The sequence below is a fragment of the Homo sapiens genome, chromosome 4, assembly GCF_000001405.40.
Source record: "Homo sapiens chromosome 4, GRCh38.p14 Primary Assembly".
Classification (NCBI taxonomy): Eukaryota; Metazoa; Chordata; class Mammalia; order Primates; family Hominidae; genus Homo; species Homo sapiens.
In genome coordinates, this window is record NC_000004.12 from 184,101,729 (window position 1) to 184,122,065 (window position 20,337).

The window sequence follows — 20,337 nt, forward strand, 5'->3', positions numbered from 1 at the left end:
GAATTTAGGTAACATCTTCACCCAGGGTGATATGTTCAGCACTTCCCAGTGCCTTCCAGGACCCCTCCTCTAGACAGGGGTAGACAGCAATGCCAGGACCCTCCTTGATGAGCCCCTCAACCAGTTAATCATTTCTAACAGGAAGGAACCAGAAACAAGTCGCCCCACACCAGGACGCGCGGTGAGAAGCCGCTGCGAGGGTGCCTTCAGGCTTGCGCGCTTTCCTGCCGGTGCCTGCATTCTCTCTGGGCGCCTGCACTCCATCGCCAGCTCCCCATGATAATGCCTGTTATATGCTTGCATTGATTTGGGAAGCCAAGGAATAATTATGAGATAAGAGTTATAATTTCTAGACCAGGCCTTTGTCTCAATCATCCTTAGCATTAAAATGAAAAGAAAATGCAACATTTGCGCTTTACCTCCGAATCAGAAACCCAGTAAATACAGTTTGTTCGACACTTGCCAGGGCCCATCCGTTTGCATTCAGCATTGTAGGATTCCTTTGAGTGCTGAGCTGAGCTGTGCTGTCTGGGGAGCACACTCAGAAATGCGAGGCTGCGCTGGGAGTGAAGGTGCAGGCAGAGGGAGGGGTGGAAGGACAGGACGAGGCGAGGAGCACTGAGTGGTCCATGTTTATTATTTGCCGCTTCACATGGGCAAGGTGTGGCTTTGGCAAACTCTAGGGGCATTTACTTGTCTTTTCATGATGCATTTTTGGAATACATGATCATATATATTTCTTGCCCATTCCTTCCTATTTCTCTCCACCATATACAGGAGAATGGTTGCTAAGCTGGGGAGAATAACGGAGGAGGCTGGTGGCCAACAGCTGCCCAACATCCGGCCTCCAGCTGTGTCCTGCATCCCTAAATGTCTCCTCCCGAGGTGGCTGGAGGGTTGAAATCTGTCTTCTCTGCCATCCCTCCCCGAGCAGAGGCGCTGTTGCAGGGCCTTGCCTGGTGCCTCCTGCTCTGCCTGGTGCTGCCCCTCTGGCCTTCCCACAGAGGCCACAGTGTCGCTCCCTGCTGGAAACCAGCGTGCTCACCGTCCACACCGGTGCATCCCATGCTGGCTGCTCAAGGACCACCCTGAGCTCAGCCTGGACCTGGCTCCGGGATATTTGCATTCAGCAGGTCAGGAGGAGTTGAGGAATCTCTTCTTAATGTCCCCCAGGTGGTCGGGATGTGCAGTCAGCCATGAGAACCCCTAGAAGCTGCTCACCTGGCATCTGCCATGGGCCATGTGAAAGGATGATTGTCCTTTTCTGAGAAGTGCCTGAGATCAGGGACTGTGCCTCATGTCCCTTTGTGTGGCACTGGGCAAGCAACACGGGCCTCCCTCTTAGAAAGTTCAAAGGGCTTCAAGGGACTGCAGAATGAGGCACAGGATCAGCTGGTACAGGGCTGCTTTCCAACAGGCGGGAGCCAGGGTGGCCCTCCAGCTGCTCCAACAGGTGCTTCATTCTCAAAGGCCGGCGCCCATGGGATGCTGGTTGTTACACATTTTGACTATTGTGTCTCCTTTCAACTACTGAAAGTATAATTCTCATGGGGTGTGGGGTCAGGGACCCAAGTTCTTCCCTTTCTCCCTTGAGGCATCACAACAGGTCTCCAGGGAACTGGGGAACACCGTTGAAATCTGGTCAGATTAAAATAAAAGGTGAAACCTATCTAAGGTGTATTAGAGGCCTAATAAAAATCTACTTTTTTCTTCTAGGACACGGTTATAACAGAAGCCTCCCACCTCCCTGAAAATACAATACACTTCTGACATCCTCCCAGTCTAAGAAAAGGCACCAACAATGTTCAAGTCATGGGTGGCTTCAGTGAAAACGCTGGTGAAATGATGACAGTTTGGCTGGCTTGGATGGTTTTGCTGCTAGTGTGAAGGTCAAGATATGGTTTCTATTATAAACCACGCTTTCTCATATTTTGTGGCATTGCTATTTTAAATTGTCCTGCAAAGAGGCTTCCAGCCAGCAGGACTCTTTGGAGCCCGTGGGAGTGGTGGTTATGAGCCTTGGAGATGTGTTTGCCACATGCCGCTCCAAAGGGATGTTCCTCTAACCATTTCCCTTTCTCTGTCTTTCTGAAACAGAATGTAATTGCTCAGGCCTCGGCCTGCTGGCCTGACCCCAGCGAGCCCCTGGCCACACACTGCTTGATCCTCGAAATGGAAAATGCAGGCAGCCAAGTCAGCAGGGATCTGGCGACGCAGACATTCTCGGAGTGGAGCAAAGCGCTGGAGAAAAGCACTTAGTGGATGGGGTTTCTTTCTTCTTTTCTTTTCTTTTCTTTTTTTGAATCACGTTGATTGCAGTGCGCCCAGGCTGAGGAGGGTATGCCTGTGCTCCCACACAGCTCCCACAGATGGCCCTGGTCACCATCAGAACGCATGCAGCTTCCCACCCCACATCTGACTTTCTGAAGCTCAGGCAGGCCTGGACAATACCACACTAGCTGTCACTAAAGCTCCGAAGCCACGTTTTCCAGATTGTCTTGATTTCCCCAGATATTTTGAGTCCAGGCCTCACAGCCATTCAACCACAGGCTTTAGAATTGAGCCTGGCATTTCATATCCTTTTCCAGTTTTCAAAATAAGTCTTTCCTCTGGAGAAAAATATTGGCCTCCTTTAGAAGCTTGGGCCTGAATTTGCTGCATTTCTCTCAAGTCAGGCAGGGGTCCAGACCATGTTCTACGATCTTTCACCTAGCTCTGGGGAAATCTTTCCCCATCCTACCTTTGTGAGCATGGTGGCATAAAATGGACACTGTCCAGGAGAGGCTGCAGGAATTAGCCCTTCAGGGCTGGGGAGAGCTGTGTCCTGCCCTTGGACTGTAGCTCTGGGTCAACTGAGGTCAGAAGAATTTGTACTTTCAACACCTCTTCCCTGTTGAAATTTCTTCTGGGGCTACTAATAATTAACCAAGCTTGAAAGCCTGACTTCGCTTTCTTCTCTGTTTACTTGGTGACTGGTTTACACACCAACCAAGTGAACAATCTGTCAATAAGTAGTCAGGAATCAACTGTCTCAATATTTAATAATTCATACCACCCACTAACATCTACTGAGACTCTACTGTGTACAAGTTCTATGATGGGAAACAAAGGTCAAGATGCCAAAGACCTGCCCTCAGGGAGCCTCCACTCCGGCAAGGCAGAGTCCAAAACAGACAAACAAATGTAGCATCAGGTCTTACAGAAATTCCAAGCTGGAGAACATTAGCAACTCTTGAGTGTTTCCTGGAAGAGATGGTGTTTGAGTTGGGCTTTGAAGGACAGGGAGGGATTGGCACAGAGAGGGCATTCCAGAGATTCTACTGATTATTTATTAGGCTGATTGAAGTTACTTGGGCGAGCACGGTTACCCCTCCCTGACCACTAAATTCCCAACACTTAAGTCTTGCACTGGAAGAATTGTTTTCACAACCAGAAAAATTTTGGTTCGGGTCTATGCAAATCATCCATGTTGGTGATAAGAAAGAAAGAAAGGGGTTGGGGTAAGGAAGAATAAAAGGAGATAAATTGGGCTTGGAACAACTGTAGAGGTTTTTGCAGTATGACACGAGCAAGAAAATTTAAAAGGATGATGGTAGAACTTCTGTTTCTGCAAGTGTGAAGGAGCCAAGATGTAGCTCTAGACCCCACAGAAGCCAGAAGGGTGAGTCTGTAACTGGGAAACACGATGTTAGAAACACATTGAACATTCTGCTGAAATGTTTAGAACATCTTAGAAGAACTGGATGGGACTGTGTGCTTCATGGCTAGACTTGAATTCAAGTCCTGGGTTAGTTGCTCAGAGATTTGTAACCATAGGCAAGATACCTAAAATGCTGAGCCGCCATTAACTCAGTAAATACAGTATCCACAATGCAGAGAGAGTGAATTGAGGAGGTACTTCATTCCAGATAGCCACTATTGTTATGGTTGTTATTGACCAAAATTTTTTTTAAAATCCCCATATTTTTATTATCTGCAAAATATAAAATAACTTGATGTGTATGTCATTGAAACTTTTGGGAGGGCCATAGGGAGCTCTTTCCAAAGTCTACGATGATCCAGGCAAGAAAAATTAAGATTGTTGTTCACAGCAACCAGTATTACTAATTAAAGGTGTATGAAATCACATTGACAGTCTGTTTAGTGGGTCAGTGTAAGGATTTTCGTGGAACTGCTCATGACCTCAGTTATTTAACTCTGTTCTTCCCATGAGCTATGAATTACATTACCCTGAAGATGATGGATCATGATCCTCCCCTGTAAAAATTCCCTGTGGTTTCCCACTGAACTTAAGATCAAAAATACCAAGTTGTTTTTTTTTTTTTTGAGATGGAATCTCTCTCTGTCTCCAGCTGGAGTGCAGTGGCGCAGTCTTGGCTCCCTGAAACTGCCACCTCCCAGGTTCAAGTGATTCTCCTGCCTCAGCCTCCCAAGTAGCTGGGATTACAGGCACATACCACCATGCCCGGTTAATTTTTGTATTTTTAGTAGAGACAGGGTTTCATCACGTTGGCCAGGCTGGTCTCGAAATCCTGACCTCAGGTGATCCGCCTGCCTCAGCCTCCCAAAGTGCTGATATTACAGGCATGAGCCACCATGTCCGGCCACAAAAATACCAAGTCTTAAAATAAAAAATACCAAGTCCTGGCCCAATGGTCCCTTGCTTACCTAAGCAGCCCCATCTTGTTGCCACGTCCCCTCTCCCAGCTCCCCACACTTGGCCACCTGGCCCATTCTTTCCATTCCTCTCACTCTCAAAGGTCTTTCCTGGCTCAGGTTCTTCAAGAAGCCCATTCCCTCAGCCTGGAGAGCACTTCCTCTTCCCGCCTGACCACTGAGCACTCCTCCTCTGGGTTTCAGCCTCAAGCTCCCTTCTCAGAGAGGGCCCCCCCAGCCCCTCATCTATATCGGTCTCCTGTTGCCCCCACCCCAGTACCCTCTTTCATGGCACTCTCTGTGTCCATGACAGCTCTTACCATGGCGACTTATTTGTGTGGCATGCGTGTTTATTTAGTGTCTAGTGCCTTCACTAGCAGGGAGGGCAGGAGTGGGGGCAAGGACTCCCAGTGGCTCCCCACTGTGGAATTAGAACTTCTCGTTGGCCGTCGCTGTAGTCGGCACTCAGCACATATCTGCTGGTTCGCTAGGTGCACGATTGCTGAGGCACACGGCCTTCACGGTCGGGGATGGAAGAGCGTGCTTGAGTCTGCTGCAGACTACCCACAGCCCTTCTCCACTTGGCATTTTGCTGTGTTGTGCCTGACTCTCCCACAGTTTAGCATCGCCGAGCCTGCCTCCTCAGTGTCCCTGGCCCACCGTGACATTGTGACAACCCAACCTGCCCCAGGCCCCTGGGGGAGGGAGTGGCAGGGTGACCCACTGAGAACCACGGTGGAGCCAACCTGGGCGGGACTTCCGTGCTCTGGGGAAGAGTGTGATCTTCATCCCCTGTGGGAAGATGCAGGGCAAAGTCTTTCCAGAAGACAGGGAACAGGTCTCAGGCAGGACTTCCATGAGGAAGGCCCATTTCCTATCCTTGAAGCAAAGAGCTTGGCTGGGGTGACGGGCTCAGGCTGGACCTGTGGAGGCAGCCTGTGCTTTACCTCTTTCTGTTTTATCCTATGGGAATAAGAACACTTCAGATTTCTCTCCTTTCAGGACAGGAGGCTGGAGAAAGGACTGACAGCGGTTGGAAATCCAGCTGGTTTATTAAAGAGTGCAGGGGCAGAGGCAAACTGGGGGCCCTTGCTTTGCTATGGCAGGGTCAGCAGTCCCGCTGGATGACTGTGTGTAATCCCAGCACTTTGGGAGGCTGAGGTGGGCAGATCACAAGGTCAGGAGTTCGAGACCAGCCTGGCCAATATGGTGAAACCCCGTCTCTACTAAAAATAGAAAAATTAGTCAGGGCTAGGTGTGGTGGCTCACGCCTGTAATCCCAGCACTTTGGGAGGCTGAGGTGGGCGGATCACGAGGTCAGGAGATCGAGAACATCCTGGTTAACACAGTGAAACCTCGTCTCTACTAAAAATACAAAAAATTAGCCGGGCGTGGTGGCGGGCGCCTGTTGTCCCAGCTACTCGGGAGGCTGAGGCAGGAGAATGGCGTGAACCCGGGAGGCGGAGCTTGCTGTGAGCCGAGATCCCGCCATTACCCTCTAGCCTGGGCAACAGAGCAAGACTCAGTCTCAATAAAAAAAAAAAAAAAAAATCTGTTTCTGTCTTTATCTTTTTCAGTGACGCCTCTCTAAGAAATCCTAAGAAAAAGATAAACTCAATTAAGTCTTCCTGTTAGTGCAGCCGCCTTAGAGTCTGCAAGACTTAAATTTATGGTAGAAAGTTGGTGTGTTTTGGGGAAGGGCATTTTTACCAAGGAAACCAAATCTTCCATGTTTCTGGGATGGCGGCTACAGGCAGAAAGGAGTGGGGGACAGGACTCTAGTGGCTGTCACCCAGCATCACCATGTCCTGACTCAGCTGTTTTCCTAATCATGGCTAAACCAGAAACCAGTCTCATCTGCCAGCCGAACTCAGACCCAGAGAGGCTGCTTTCGGGCCGAGAGTCTTGCCATGCCACAGATGTGAAGTCTAAGCCAGCCCTGAAACGTCATCGCATGCACTGTGGATGGGTGTATAGGTTTCAGGGCAAAACTTAACATTCTTTTACCATTTGGGGAGAAGTTTAGCGAATAGGAAAGTGAGAGATTAATAGCCTTGGCACAACGCAGAAACGAGGATATAGAATGGGGTTTTTAATTCTCTGCTGTCAAGAAAGGATAAAGAACAATCGAACGATGTCAAAGGAAGAAGTTTAAGCCAATAAAGAAAGAATGGGCACTTGTTTTGGGGATTTCTCAGAAAACAAATAAATAAAGCCCCAATGTTATATTAAAGTAGAATCAGAAATTATAGCTTTTACATATGGTGTCTTAATAATAAAAATTTGTAAATTCCAGGATAGAAGTAAAATGATTAAGATCTTTAGTCTAGGAAACTGCAGAGTCATTAAAAGATATCTCAGTGTCTCTCAGGACTCAGGGACGATTATGAGTTTCCAGAGAGACATTTGTGTTCATGGACATAGGTGCTGTAAGTTATGTTAATGGAACTGATTGTTCTCTTTGAATTGGCTTCTTGGAAGCTCAGAACCACATGTGTGTTCCATTTTGTTTGGCTGTATGTTATTTTCAGAACTAACAATAGCAGCGGGACGCAGTGGCTCACGCCTGTCATCCCAGCACTTTGGGAGGCCAAGGCGGGCAGATCACTTGAGGTCAGGAGTTCAAGACCATCCTGGCCAACATGGTGAAACCCCATCTCCACTAAAAATACAAAAATTAGCTGGGCAGGGTGGTGGGCACCTGTAATCTCAGCTACTTGGGAGGCTGAGGCGGGAGGATCTCTTGAACCTGGAAGGCAGAGGTTGCAGTGAGCTGAGATCGCACCACCGCACTCCAGCCTGGGTGACAGAGGGAGACTCCATCTCAAAAACAAAACAACAACAACAACAAAAAAAAACAAAACAAACAAACAAAAAGAACTAACAATATCCATGATGCAGAGTCATCAGGAGAATTCGAAACAGGAACTGGGATGCACTTAATTCAAGAGAGCTATTATTATGCAGTAGTTGTCACTGACTAAAATTTAAACAGACATTTTTCTTGATGTATTTATTATCTGCAAGGTGTAAAATAACTTTCTATGCATGTCATTGAAGCTTTGGGGGAGGGGTCATTCTAGAGCTGCTACGGATCCGGGCGTGATACATGAAGATGAATTTCGCAGCCCTTATCATTAGTAATTAAAGGTGTGTGAGCCACCATGGATAGTGTATTAGTGAGCAACCCTCATCTTTCAGAGCTAATCTTATTTTTTCATACCCTATTTATCTTATTTCTGATGTTCTTTTGTTTCTTTTTAAAGTTTCTACTTCACTTATCTTTGAAATTACCTCAAATCTTCCTTTGGAAGTGATTGTATATGTTAAAATGCTGCTCTAATAATTGTCAATAGCTAAGCATTCTTCCTTTCTGTTCTGTGGCTTCTCCCTAAGACATACAATACAGTACTGGTTAGCCCTTGCTAACTGATGGTCTCACTTCTGATTTATTCAGACAAACGTGTGTGTGTGTGTGTGTGATTTGTCAATGCATACAAAAGTAATATATAATAGAACATAACATGGTCAACGCTGATTTGTCGGTTTCCTACAGGGGAGCAGGTACTTGGATCCACAGCAGAGTGTGGGGCGGGAGGATGTGGGGGAGATGGAAGGGAGAAGGTACTTGGACCCACAGCAGAGTACGGGACGGAAGGATTAGGGGGAGATGGAAGCAGAGCCAGGGGAAGGAGGACGTGTCCTCAGACGTGTCACTGGGCATCCTGAGTGGGCCAGCACCAGTCAGAATGGTGCAGAGGCTGCCGTTTGTTCTTGCTCTCCCCTCACCCCTTCTTTCTGTTCTTTGTTTCGGGGCCCCAGTCTACCTGACTCCTGGCCTCTGTTTCACTTTTGTCCTGTGATTGGGACCCCCTGGTCTGCACTTCAGCACAACTTCAGATCTCAGAACCAAAGCTGACCCAAGGCAGGAATTTTCTAGCCCCACTAGTCAGCTGATTGATGAGACTGAGGGGAAGCCGCTAGTGGGTTCTGGGCAGAAGCAGATTTACAGCTTATGCACCAAGGCTCCTCATGTGTGTGAACTTCTTCCAAATCCCTGTACCTAATTTTGTATTCATAACTGTGTATGTTTTCTTCTTAAAGAGAGATCCCATTTAGCATAATCTTCAGAGTCCTACAAAACCTGAGTCTGGCCCTGGCTCTGGTATGTATATTTTTCTCCCTGATAAAAGTAGGAGACATACAAACAGAACCCACGCCCTTTCTTTCCTGCTTTGGAATGTCCTGACGGGATATGATGTGATGCATGGAGCTGCAGCAGCCACCTTGTGACGTTGAAGAAAGCCAAGAGCATTGCAGAAGAGCTTGCTTGGGGCATGATATAATTGAGTTGCTGGATTCAGCAATCCTGGAATTGCCTGCCTCCAGACTTCTAGTTATGTGGGATAGTAAATCCTTTTTGTTTAAGCCACATTTATCAAATGGGCTGTGATTTATGACCAAGAGCGTCTTAACGGATGCCTTGAGGTCTCCCAGCACTGCGTTTCATCACTCACTGGAAGGCCCTGCATCTTCATGCCGGACGTGTGGCTGCTGAGATACCATGTTTACTTTCACTGAGAGGACTCAGGGCTGAAGCTGCTTCCCCAGCACCTGTCACATCCTACTGCAGGGGACCAAGACCTTTCTCGCTGGAATTGAGATGGCACCTCATTAGTCATCCAGCATCTCCATAGTGACCTCTGGCCCTGCACTCCCCTACCTAAGCCTGTTTTCCACCAAGATGCCCGATCACTTCTGCGCTCTTATACTCTCCCTCCCTACCACCCAGCCTCTCAGCACGGGTGACTTCAGCTAAAGACGACAGAGTAATGACGGATGCAAATAGCCAGCTAAGAAATTACTGATGGCTGTGGATTAACCTTCAGGGCATATTTGCTTTTAAAAATTCCAAGCAATTCTGCCAGAATTTTATAAACTGAAAAAAGTTCAAACAGTAAGCCCTTTGGTGTGATCTGGAAGGCTGGCGTTGTGGAATACAGTGAGACAGGTGACTTGCTTGACCACATATGTGCTCTGTGTGAGGTCCTGAGCAAACCACTCTAAGTGATGATTTGGTGATCCCAACCTAACCTCACTCCAGGTGACCTCACACTCTGTGATGAAGTGATGAGAAGCATTTTGGATTGTAGAGGAGAGGGCATTAGGGAACAGAGGGACCCTCACCTTGTAAACCACGTGGCAGAGAAGCCATAGCTGCCTGAGAAGGACCTCGCTGGTCTCTGCTCTGCGCAACTCACACCCCTAACCGAATCTGCTCTCTTCTCAGTTCCTTGGTGCCAGGTGCTTCTCTCTGTCTGAGAGCACCCAGAAGCCACGCAGTCTTCCTGCATAACACACAACCTGTGTGTTACATGTCACACAACCCCCATTTTCCCATGCCCATGTCCCGGACTCCCACTCACTTGCCCAGTCAGCCTTCCTGCTGATCATCGCCTGTCCTCATGCCCCGGGGTGACTACTGACAGTCTTAGGTCTTACACTTGGTTGGCCTCAACCAGCTACTCTCATGTACCCTGGAGCCTGTTCTATTAGGTTGGTGCAAAAGTAATTGTGATTTTTGTCATACTGCAATTACTTTTGAACCAAGCTAATAATTGCAACCCACCTTCAAATTCCTAAAATAACCCATGCTGTCTTCAGGAATGAACTGTAAACATGACACGACTGCAGACTCCCCTAAAGGGCAGGGCCTCCCCACCGTGGCCTGATATCACAAGCTGATGCCAGAGCTGGATGAGCTTAGAGTCCAGGCCAACCAGGAGGAGGCTGTGGAGGTCATTCAGGCATGAGGCAATTAAGGTTTGGACAAAAAATGCATGATATTCTCCTCTGAAAGATCAAATTGGCAAACTGGGGACTCACAGTCTCGTTTGCCAAACATTTCTCTTGAAGGTGAAAGTTAAGCTGAGCCTCTCCCTGCTTTTGACTGCCCTTGAGCAATTGCTTTGGTTCACAGTAATTGTTCCACTTTCAAGCGAACAGGTTACATTGTAAGCCGGGTAATCGAGTTAATGCCCGTTTGTTAAAACACAGCGAGTCTGGAGCCACGAAGTCTAAACCATGACTCTGGGTTCGCGTCTACAGTTGTGTCTACAAAGTTACCCGATCAAGACTTTTGATTCTCTAAAGAAAGACATAACGCAACAAACGATGCCTAAGTGAAAAAATCTTTTATGTATAAAAACTTGAGTAACTATTATTTAACTTTGGACTGTTTTATAGAATTTGCATAGAGAATAAATTGGCACATATTTCATAATTACCTCAGTTATGAACCAGCCTTCATCAGCCACTAAAGTCAAAGGAGAGACAAACTTTCCTTTCTTGTAATAGAACCTGCTTGGGATGGCTTCTTTCTCGTAGACAGTCATGTGTTCCACTGTGCTCAGTTTGTTATATATCTGCAAAGAAAATCAAGAGTGATCAGTTTGACACTCTCTTAAATATGTGTGAATATTTACTGGAGCTAGGGGAGAGGAGAACTTACGTATAAGACCAAAGAAAGAAATTGCCAAATACTTGATAGATTTGAATATGTAAAAACAAAAAACTTTTGTCTGTCTCAAAAAGCAAGGTGGCTTCATCCAGGAAGGCTGAAGATCCTCACACTCTCTCACCTAAGAAGTTGACTCTGAGGAATAGAGTGAAATCCCTCAAGCCTGTGCACCTGTAGCCATGTGGAGGAATGAACCCTGCAAACTGGAACAGCCCAAATGCCCAGCAATAGTGGGGGAGAGAAAGAATTCATGGTGTGGTTCTGCAATGGAATACTCTACAGCACTGAAGATGAATGAATTATAGCTACAAACACTCCTGGAAGACTCTCAGGGATCTCAGCTTTAGTGGGGGGAAAAGCAAGTTGCTGAAGAATACAGGCAAAATTATTCCAATTCTATATTTCTTATTATAGTTTGAGCAACTACAAAACTAAACAGCATATATGGTAAAACTGTAAACGGAGGTTTTAATAATTTAAGACAGTGGTTTCCTCTGAGGGGGCAAAAAGGGGGATTGGGTCTGAGAAGGACATACAGCTGTCCCAGGTAACGGTAATGTCCTATTTCTCAGGTGTTCTGAGTATAAAGGGTCTGCTGTAACATTACCTTTCACACCTTATTCATTTTCTAATAATGTCAAAACGCCCATGCTCTAATATTATGTCAAAACTCCCATGCTGATATTAAAGGGAAAGTAAGAAATTGGTCTACCTGATATTAAATATTGCAAAGATCAAAAAAGAGGATTTGTTCTTCAACTTGACCTAGAGCCTATCCTGCCTGCATGTGAATCTTTAAAGCACTAGTACTTGTTTGCCATTAACTACATTGCTAATTTCATGATGAAGATGCAAACTTTGTACATACTTTGTACATCTGCCTGCCTCAGCCTCCCAAAGTGCTAGGAATATAGGCTTCAGCCACCGAGTGTGGCCCTGTACATATTTCTTTTTATCTCTCTCTCTTTCTCTTTCTTTTTCCTTCCTTTCTTTCTTTTCTTTCTTTCTTTCTTTCTTTCTTTCTTTCTTTCTTTCTTTCTTTCTTTCTTTCTTTCTTTCTCTCTTTCTTTCTTTCTTTTTGATGGAGTTTTGCTCTTGTCACCCAGGCTGGAGTGCAATGGCAAGATCTTGGCTCACTGCAACCTCCGACTCCTGAGTTCAAGCAATTCTCCTGCCTCAGCCTCCCAAGTAGCTGGAACTACAGGCACCCACTGCTACACCCAGCTAATTTTTGTATTTTTAGTAAAGACGGGTTTTCGCCATGTTGGCCAGGCTGGTCTTGAACCCCTGACCTCAGGTGATCCACCCACCTTAGCCTCATAAAGTGCTGGGATTACAGGCGTCAGCCATCGCGCCTGGCCCTGTACATATTTCTAATAGTAGCAGCCACTTAAATATCTATGGCTAAAATTAAAATCGACTGACTGATATTGACTTGGCCTTTAGCCAAATCAGGCATATATTTCTGGGCATCACTGAATATAAGATTGAGTTTATCAACTCAACTCTGTAAAATAATGTAGTGGATGGTTTCTGACGGCTCCTGAGTTATGATTTTCTACTTAAGGAAATCCGGAGTTCTTAAGGAAAGGAGGATGCATTTGCAGAAGGATTTTGTATAAGTGAAAAATCTAGCGACACACAGCAGGTCTCACAAACTGTTGTGTCCGTCACATGACAAACTGTCGCCCAAACATGGCCCCCGCTTTTGAATACTCTACCAACTGCTTTGGCTGCCTGCAATGCCTGACTTGAACAGTACCTTGGAAGGCGCTCTCCCTAGCTCAAAAGCTGTTGATGCCCAAGTTCTGGAGACAGCACGTTCCTAAGTGCCAAATTGGACACAAGGATGATCTTTCTTGCCAAAAAAAAAAAAGAAAAAAAGAAAAAACCCAGAATGTATTTTCAAGAACCTGCCAATGTGTAAAATATTGTTTCTGATTTCATATTTTGGGAGCTCATGGGAACACTGCATAAACATATCCTGCACCTGCAGTCCCTGACCATGGAGCCTGAGAACAAAGGACTGTCCCCCTGGGGATGGAGCAAGGCTGGGAGCAGTGGCATTCTGGGCATCTGTGTTCCTCAACCCCAAACAGACAGATCTTATAGGGCAGTAGGCTCCGTGAGTTATGATTTTCTACTTAAGGAAATCCGGAGTTCTTAAGGAAAGGAGGATGCATTTGCAGAAGGATTGGGCTAAAGAGGTGAGACCCTGGCCTCCACCAGTGCTTCATCCTTACTAATGACTGTCCAGAGTCAACTCATGGCTGCAGTGAGGATGGAGAGAGAAAGCAGGCTGGCCAGGACCTACTACTGGTACCCTGTGGTTGGCAACCTCCAGGGGCAGCAGGTCGCCTGCCCCCAGGAAGACAGTTGCTTCCTGCCCAGATCAGTTTCATCTGGGAGTGGGACAAGCCACAAAGCCCATATTGGGAAGTGACTAGGAACTCGGGGGACAAGCAGCCAGCAGAAGGTGCCACTTGCTCCTCCTCCCTTCTCAGGGTAGGTCACCAGCTACTGCCAGGCAGAATATTTGTTTTGAGAGCAGGGTAAGCAGAGGTCTAGTCATCCCTGGTGCAGGGCAGTGACTGTGGGGAGCAGAGCTTTGTCCCCCATCTTGGCACTGTGGGAACTCAACCACACCCTCTGGTGGGGATCATCATGGTCACCGACACATACATTGTCCTTGCAGTGGGCTCAGCGTGCTTCCATATCCCTCACAGCAGCCAGGAGGCAGCTATGACAGCACCACCATGCTCACGTACAGGGAGGCAGAGAGGCCAGGGTGGGGAGCTTGTCTGGCTTCCAACTGAACACAGAGCTGGGAACGGTGGCTCCTGACATAAGGAGCTGGGCACTGCATACAGCCTCAGCTCCCTTCATTCTTTACCCTCTTGTTCCCCGACAGAAACAGATCAGCCTGGCAGAAGCCTCTTTCCTGAGAAAGGGCAGCCTAGGGATGCTGCTGATGCTCCCCAGATGTGCCTGAGAAGTGCTGCATTTGGGCCAATAACAAAACAGCCCTAGGCCGGGCACGGTGGTTCACGCCTGTAATCCCAGCATCTTGGGAGGCCGAGGCAGGTGGATCACGAGGTCAGGAGATCGAGACCATCCTGGTTAACATGGTGAAACCCCGTCTCTACTAAAAAAAAAAAATACAAAAAAATTAGCTGGGCATGGTGGCGGGCGCCTGTAGACCCAACTACCCAGGAGGCTGAGACAGGAGAATGGCATGAACCCGGGAGGCAAAGCTTGCAGTGAGCCGAGATAGCGCCACTGCACTCCAGCCTGGGCGACAGAGCGAGACTCCGTCTCAAAAAACAAACAAACAAACAGCCCTGGTGAGGGCCTGTATGATGCTTCCTTGATCTCATTTAATTCTCATGACATTCAATGGAGTAGGTATCATCATGCCCATTTCAGAGAAGAAAAAACAGAGACTTGATAGAGGTCACTCAGGGAGTGAGAGGTAAACTAGGTCATCTGTCTCCAGCACCCGAGCTCCTGACACTGCTCTGTATGTCAGTATTAAAACTACAAGGAAAGGCCGGGCGTGGTGGCTCACACCTGTAATCCCAGCACTTTGGGAGGCCGAGGCGGGTGGATCACCTGAGGTCAGGAGTTGGAGACCAGCCTGACCACATGGAGAAACCCTGTCTCTACTGAAAATACAAAATTAGCCGGGCATGGTGGCGCATGCCTATAGACCCAGCTGCTCAGGAGGCTGAGGCAGGAGAATCACTTGAACCTGGGAGGCAGAGGTTGCAGTGAGCCGAGATCGCGCCATTGCACTCCAGCCTGGGCAATAAAAGTGAAACTCTGCCTCAAAAAAAGAAACAAACACACACACACAAAACAAAACAAAAAAACTACAAGGAAAAGACAGTGCAGATGGCAACACACGAGGGCCCACATGGCCCTCCTCCGCCCCCCACGGGTCTGTCTTGCCTCAGAGTGTTTCCCAGGGGCCGGCCAAAGGCTCACAACAGGCCCGCGGTCCTTCACTTGCTGCAGGTCATTCAGGCTGATGTACTTATTCAGCTCAATCACTTTGTCCATCCAGAAAATGTCGGTCATTCCGTGATCCGAGAAAATAATGACGTTCAGGCGGTCCTGCAGGCCCCGCTCCTGTGGGGTGGGAAAAGACAGTCATTACGGCACCAACAGAGAGGCTCGTGCACTCAGAAAACCTTGTCAACTACAAATGATAGGAGAAAGGCTATCTCCTCAGTTCTGTGTTTAATCTTCTACTATTTTGCCCTGGTGAGACCCAGTTCAAAACCACAACAGAAGCCCTTTGCGGAGGGGACTGTGAGGCTCAGTCCCACTCAATTCGTGCTGACACCTTACACAGCACTTTCAGCTTTTTAAGGTCGACGCTCTGCATCTTCTCTGGCTCTTTCAACAAATTTGTGTGCTGGTTTGAGAACTATCACGTGCCCATGTTACAGATGTACAGGATAAAGCACAGGAAGGGAAAGCAAAGGTAAAAACAAAACTGAACACTTGTAGTCATTCAGCAAAAGCGTAAGGTAGAATCAGGACTGGAACCTGTCTACATGTCAAGCTGCTACCAAACTTATTAGGAGTCCACAGAGCTGGGTGTCTCTCCAGCTGAGCCAGGCGAGAAAGCACACCTAGGTCAGTCTCTCTCACTGGCCTGGCTGTGGAACAAAGGATCACTTGGTATCGCAGGAGGCATTGTGTGAAGCCAAGGGACTCGTCAAAGCCTGTGCTGGCCCAATTGGCCTTTAGCAGTAAGAGGGAAGATGTTGACAGGAGTGACTGTGGAGGAGACAAACAGAGGGTGACAGAGAGAAGGCCAGGCCACGTGTCTTTGCTTCAGGTCACCTGGATCCACTTGGTCATGTACTTCAGGACAGTGTCTACAGCCTTGAGGGCATCTTTCCTCTGCGGAGATGCAGGCCCGTAGTGGTGGCCTTCCACGTCAATGCGCTCATGGTATATGGCTGCCAGGTCGGCCCGGCCACTCCTGGAGGGACAGAGGAGAGAGGCATAGGTGAGGGAGGCCCCCGCCAGCTTGCTCCCTTATCACCCCCATAGCACTCTCTGAAGGTGTTCACGCCCCCCGAAACCTTGTCCCTGGGCCAGACAAAGCCAATACCCTAAAATAAATGAGGTCAGATCTCCAAGGGAGAAGCACACACTGAACCAAGAATTGCTGGTCCTGAGCAATTCTTTGCAATCTTTGAACATAGAATTCGCAGTCTTTGAACATAGTGAAGCTTCCATAAAATCTGTCCTTTGGATAAGCCTCAGCATTTCATTGCTTTAGGTACGTGCACATTTAGCATTTCAGATGTGCCTGTTCACACAGTATGGCATCTGTTTAGGTGTCCACACTTCCAGAGTGGGCTTACATGTAGGGAAAAATCCGATTAAACTCAGTGGTGACTTACTATAGTGAGGAGTTTTCATGAATAAAGTTTACCATTGCATTAAAGTTTAACGAATGAACTAATTCTAGGTCTCTTCATGTTAGATACCTCTCCTTAGTGCAGCACTCCTGTCCTGGTTTCCTTAAGGCTATTACTCTATTCACAAACCTCCACATCATCCATTATGTGTGGCAATTTACCTGGTGGCTTTTGGTCAGGAAGCTGTCAACCCCAGATGCTGGGAATCCTGGATTTGTGATGCCTGTGATTCAGGGATTATACACATGTCTTTTGTGAAAGGATGATACGTTGACATTTCATTGACTCATTAGGACCCTATGTCTTCAAGGGCTGAGACCTCTTGCCTGTCTGGAGTTTAGCTGACACATGCTTGCTTGCCAGCTGTTTTCCACAGGGATCTGGTTTCCATCCCAGGTCAGCTCATTTGCAATGAATTGTTTGGGTGAGGAGTGACGAGTAGTCATGCCTGCCCACCTACTACTGGCCATTGACAGCTCTAAGGTCCAGGAACCATTCTAGAAGGACATGTGGCCCCCAGCACAGTCACCTGAGAGCTGCAAGGGGTTCCTAGCCCTGGGGTTTCAGGGACACCTGAGTCTCCCATCACCTTATGATTCTGTCCTGATTTCTTTGCCATGTAAAAAGTTCTTAATGTTCTTTCCATTTTTCTTACTAAAGTGGCTGACTGTTAAGAAAAATGATCCAAAACTTAGAAATAAAGCCTACAGTATGATTGCCTGTCTTCTCAGTGCCATGGTGAGCACTGTCTAATAAGCTTGCTTGAGTCACCAGACTGAACTACTGATTGGAGTTCAGACTCCGGAAACGTAGCTGTTAGCTTGTAGGAAACTGATAAGATGAAAATTATTTTTGTCTGATGGAGAAAGCAGCTCTAACATTATGGTTTGATTATCCTCTATATTATTAAGCATATCTGCATCAAACAATAATTATCACTCATCATTCTCCATCCTTCTGTTTCTTGGTGTGTGTGTGTGTGTGTGTGTGTGTGTGTGTGTGTGTGTGTGTGTGTGTGTGTCTCATTTACTCCTTATAAGCAACTTTGTCATGCTCCTGGTTCCCCTCAGCAAGAAACTATGTTGAACCTTGGCATATTCCTCATACCCAGATGTGCTGAGCATATGACAAGTCTTAATTTTGAAAATTCTCTTTTGACAGGGTCATTGGAACTAGACAAATTCGGGATCAAACTCTGGCTTCTCTTCTAACTAACCTCGAGGCCTCAGATAAATGGCAAGATTATCTCCAAGCCTCCGTTTTCCCATCTGAAAAACCTACTTGATATGGTTTGGCTGTGTCCCCACCCAAATCTCATCTTGAATTGTAGCTCCCATAGTCCCCATGTGTTGTGGGAGGGATCCAGTGGGAGGTGATTGGAGCATGGGGGCTATTCTCATGATATTGCTATTCTCATGATCGTGAGTGAGTTCCCATGAGATCTGATGGTTTTATAAAGGGATTTCCCCCCTTTTGCTTGGCACTTCTCCTTGTTGCTGCCATGTGAAGAAGGACACGTCTGCTTTCCCTTCTGCCATGATTGTAAGTTTCCTGAGGCCTCCCCAGCCCTGTAGAACTGCGAGTCAATTAAATCTCTTCCCTTTACAAATTACCCAGTCTTAGGTATGTCTTTATTAGCAGCAAGAGAACGAACTGATACACTACTCAAAGGGTAACATGGTGTATTAAACAAGCTGATGTGTATAAAGCACTTGACACATAGTAAAAGGGAGGGGAGGGGAAGAAATGCCTCCCATTTCTCTCCTCCTTCCAGGTGGCCCTAGATCGCTTTTCCTGAGTATGTGGCTGAGCAGGCATGAGGAGCCAGTCTCCTAGCCCCAGCCTGATTCCTGCTCCTTCTTCCCTGTACTCTACAGGGAGGAGGGTCCAGGCCAGGACAGGGGAGCTGGCTTCCTGGTGGCCCGTGGAAAGAGTTGTGTCATCCATTCCTTCATTAGTCCAGGCACCACTGAGGCTCTGGGATCCTGAAGGCAGTCCTTTAGAGCTGTCTTCAGTAGCCTGGAGCTTGACAAAGGACCATATCTATACACAGCCTATGGCTGTGCCCACTGTTCCGGCAGCCAAGTTGTTTCCTGACTGACACTTTTGTGAAGCTGCACAGTGAGTCTGCTCTACAAGCCTGGAAGCAGTTGTCCGGCCCACTGTGACCCCCTGCTCTCCTCCACCAACCCCATGAGCCATTCAAGGCTCATTTCAGCTTTAGCACCATGCACCTTTTCCTGCCCACTGAACCACGAATATCCTGCAAATCGGACTTCCAGAAGGATGGGAGTAAGTGATGCAGATCACAAACCCTGCTTCCTTTTCAGCCAGGAAAAAGGGCCGTGTGTGGGGGGCACTGCCTGCAGACTGCCCATGTGTGGTGGGAGGCACATGGCTCCGGTGCCTGGGCTGCAGGCTGCAGAACCCCAGGCCTTAGGATGGCCCCAAAGAGAACACTTGCAAAGAGGCGCGTCTGGACTCCCTGTCGCTGTCTCAATTTCAGGGTGTCTTAGAGGTGTGAGCTGGCAGAGATCAGGGTAGAGGACTGAGGAGTTGACCCTGGAGTGGTTCTCAGGCACCGTGTCCCCAAGGCAGGAGGCCTCCAGAGTCTGAGCCCTAAGCCGCTGTGGAAAGAGCTGGGCTCTTGCTCCACCACTGGCTGGCTTGTGAGGTCCAAGAAGTATTTAACCTTCAGAGAGCCAGTGGCCTCTTTTGTAAGGTGGGGAGAGCAATGCCTACACAATACCACGGACATGAGAACCAAGTGGGTTACTGGATATCAAGCCCATTGACACAATACTAGCCAATGGCTGTTAAAGCACTAATTCCCTTCCCTCCTCCTTTTCCCTATTCTAGAAGTTGTCCAAATTCAAAGGTAGCATTTCACAAGGATATGTCTGGGGTCAGTAATGCGTTATGAGCACTGGAAGGAATGCCTGAATCAAACTTGGGCGAGGGATTCTCTTTCCTACCACAGGCTGACATAGATCCTCTGCTGAAATGTCCCTGAGCAGACCTCTATGTTCAAGATCTTAACAGCCTCTCCTGCTTTCTGTCAAAGCCCATCTATCCTGGGTTCCATTCTCTCTGCCTCTCAAGTTAATAGCAAAGTGGATTAAAAAACACACTCTGTGAGTCTTGTAGTGACTTGGAGAAATGTGTGTGCATGTTTGGGCACTCATGTATGAAAACTCCAAGTGTTCCTCAAATTATAGTTAGGAATTTGCAGTAGAGCTGAACAGAAGTCAAGAGGTGAGCTGTGGCATTCTAGACATGCTCCTCTTTCAAGGGTCTCTGATGGACAGACCAATAAGCCTACATCTTTGCTAGACACACATACCAAGAGACTTAATGATTCCTTTGAGCCACATGATTGCATGGACAAGCTGCTACAGGCAAAGTGCTCTTGACTGGTCTAGACTGTTCTAGACTGGACATCTTCTTCACTCACCTCATTCCTGAAGGAGACAAAGGTTAGATTTCTTTCAAAGAAAAATGTTGACCCACAACTTTCAGGCCTTTATTATTCTTTGTAAGAAGGTGATGAGACATGTTCTAATAATAACACACAGGTTGGCTGAAGGAGGGGCTTCCTGTGTCTTCAGGGGAGGCCCAAGTCATCTCACTGTCTTCCACAGGCAGTATCATCCAGCCTATTATTATTCTTTTCTTTCTCACATGTCAAGAGCTTCCTAGCTTTAGAGGTAGTGGGTCTCC

At 47.5% G+C, this 20,337-nt stretch overlaps 1 protein-coding gene across 1 annotated transcript in view, besides 1 other annotated feature; it reads right to left on the reverse strand.

The window, feature by feature from the left end:
* Nucleotides 1–20,337, reverse strand: part of ENPP6 (ectonucleotide pyrophosphatase/phosphodiesterase 6) — a 129,168-nt gene that overhangs the window by 13,023 nt on the left and 95,808 nt on the right. The window contains exons 4-6 of the mRNA NM_153343.4: nucleotides 16,031–16,172; nucleotides 15,128–15,307; nucleotides 10,944–11,081 (exon numbers count right to left, since the gene is read on the reverse strand). Of these exons, the coding sequence (NP_699174.1) occupies nucleotides 10,944–11,081; nucleotides 15,128–15,307; nucleotides 16,031–16,172 (460 nt within the window). The remainder of the gene's footprint in view (nucleotides 1–10,943; nucleotides 11,082–15,127; nucleotides 15,308–16,030; nucleotides 16,173–20,337) is intronic.
* Nucleotides 768–1,062: a silencer, noted in NCBI's record as "tiled region #1728; K562 Repressive non-DNase unmatched - State 13:Ctcf". NCBI's record gives its function as "represses a minimal TATA promoter and a strong SV40 promoter by Sharpr-MPRA in K562 cells {active_cell/tissue: K562}" and the evidence as "EXISTENCE:reporter gene assay evidence [ECO:0000049][PMID:27701403]".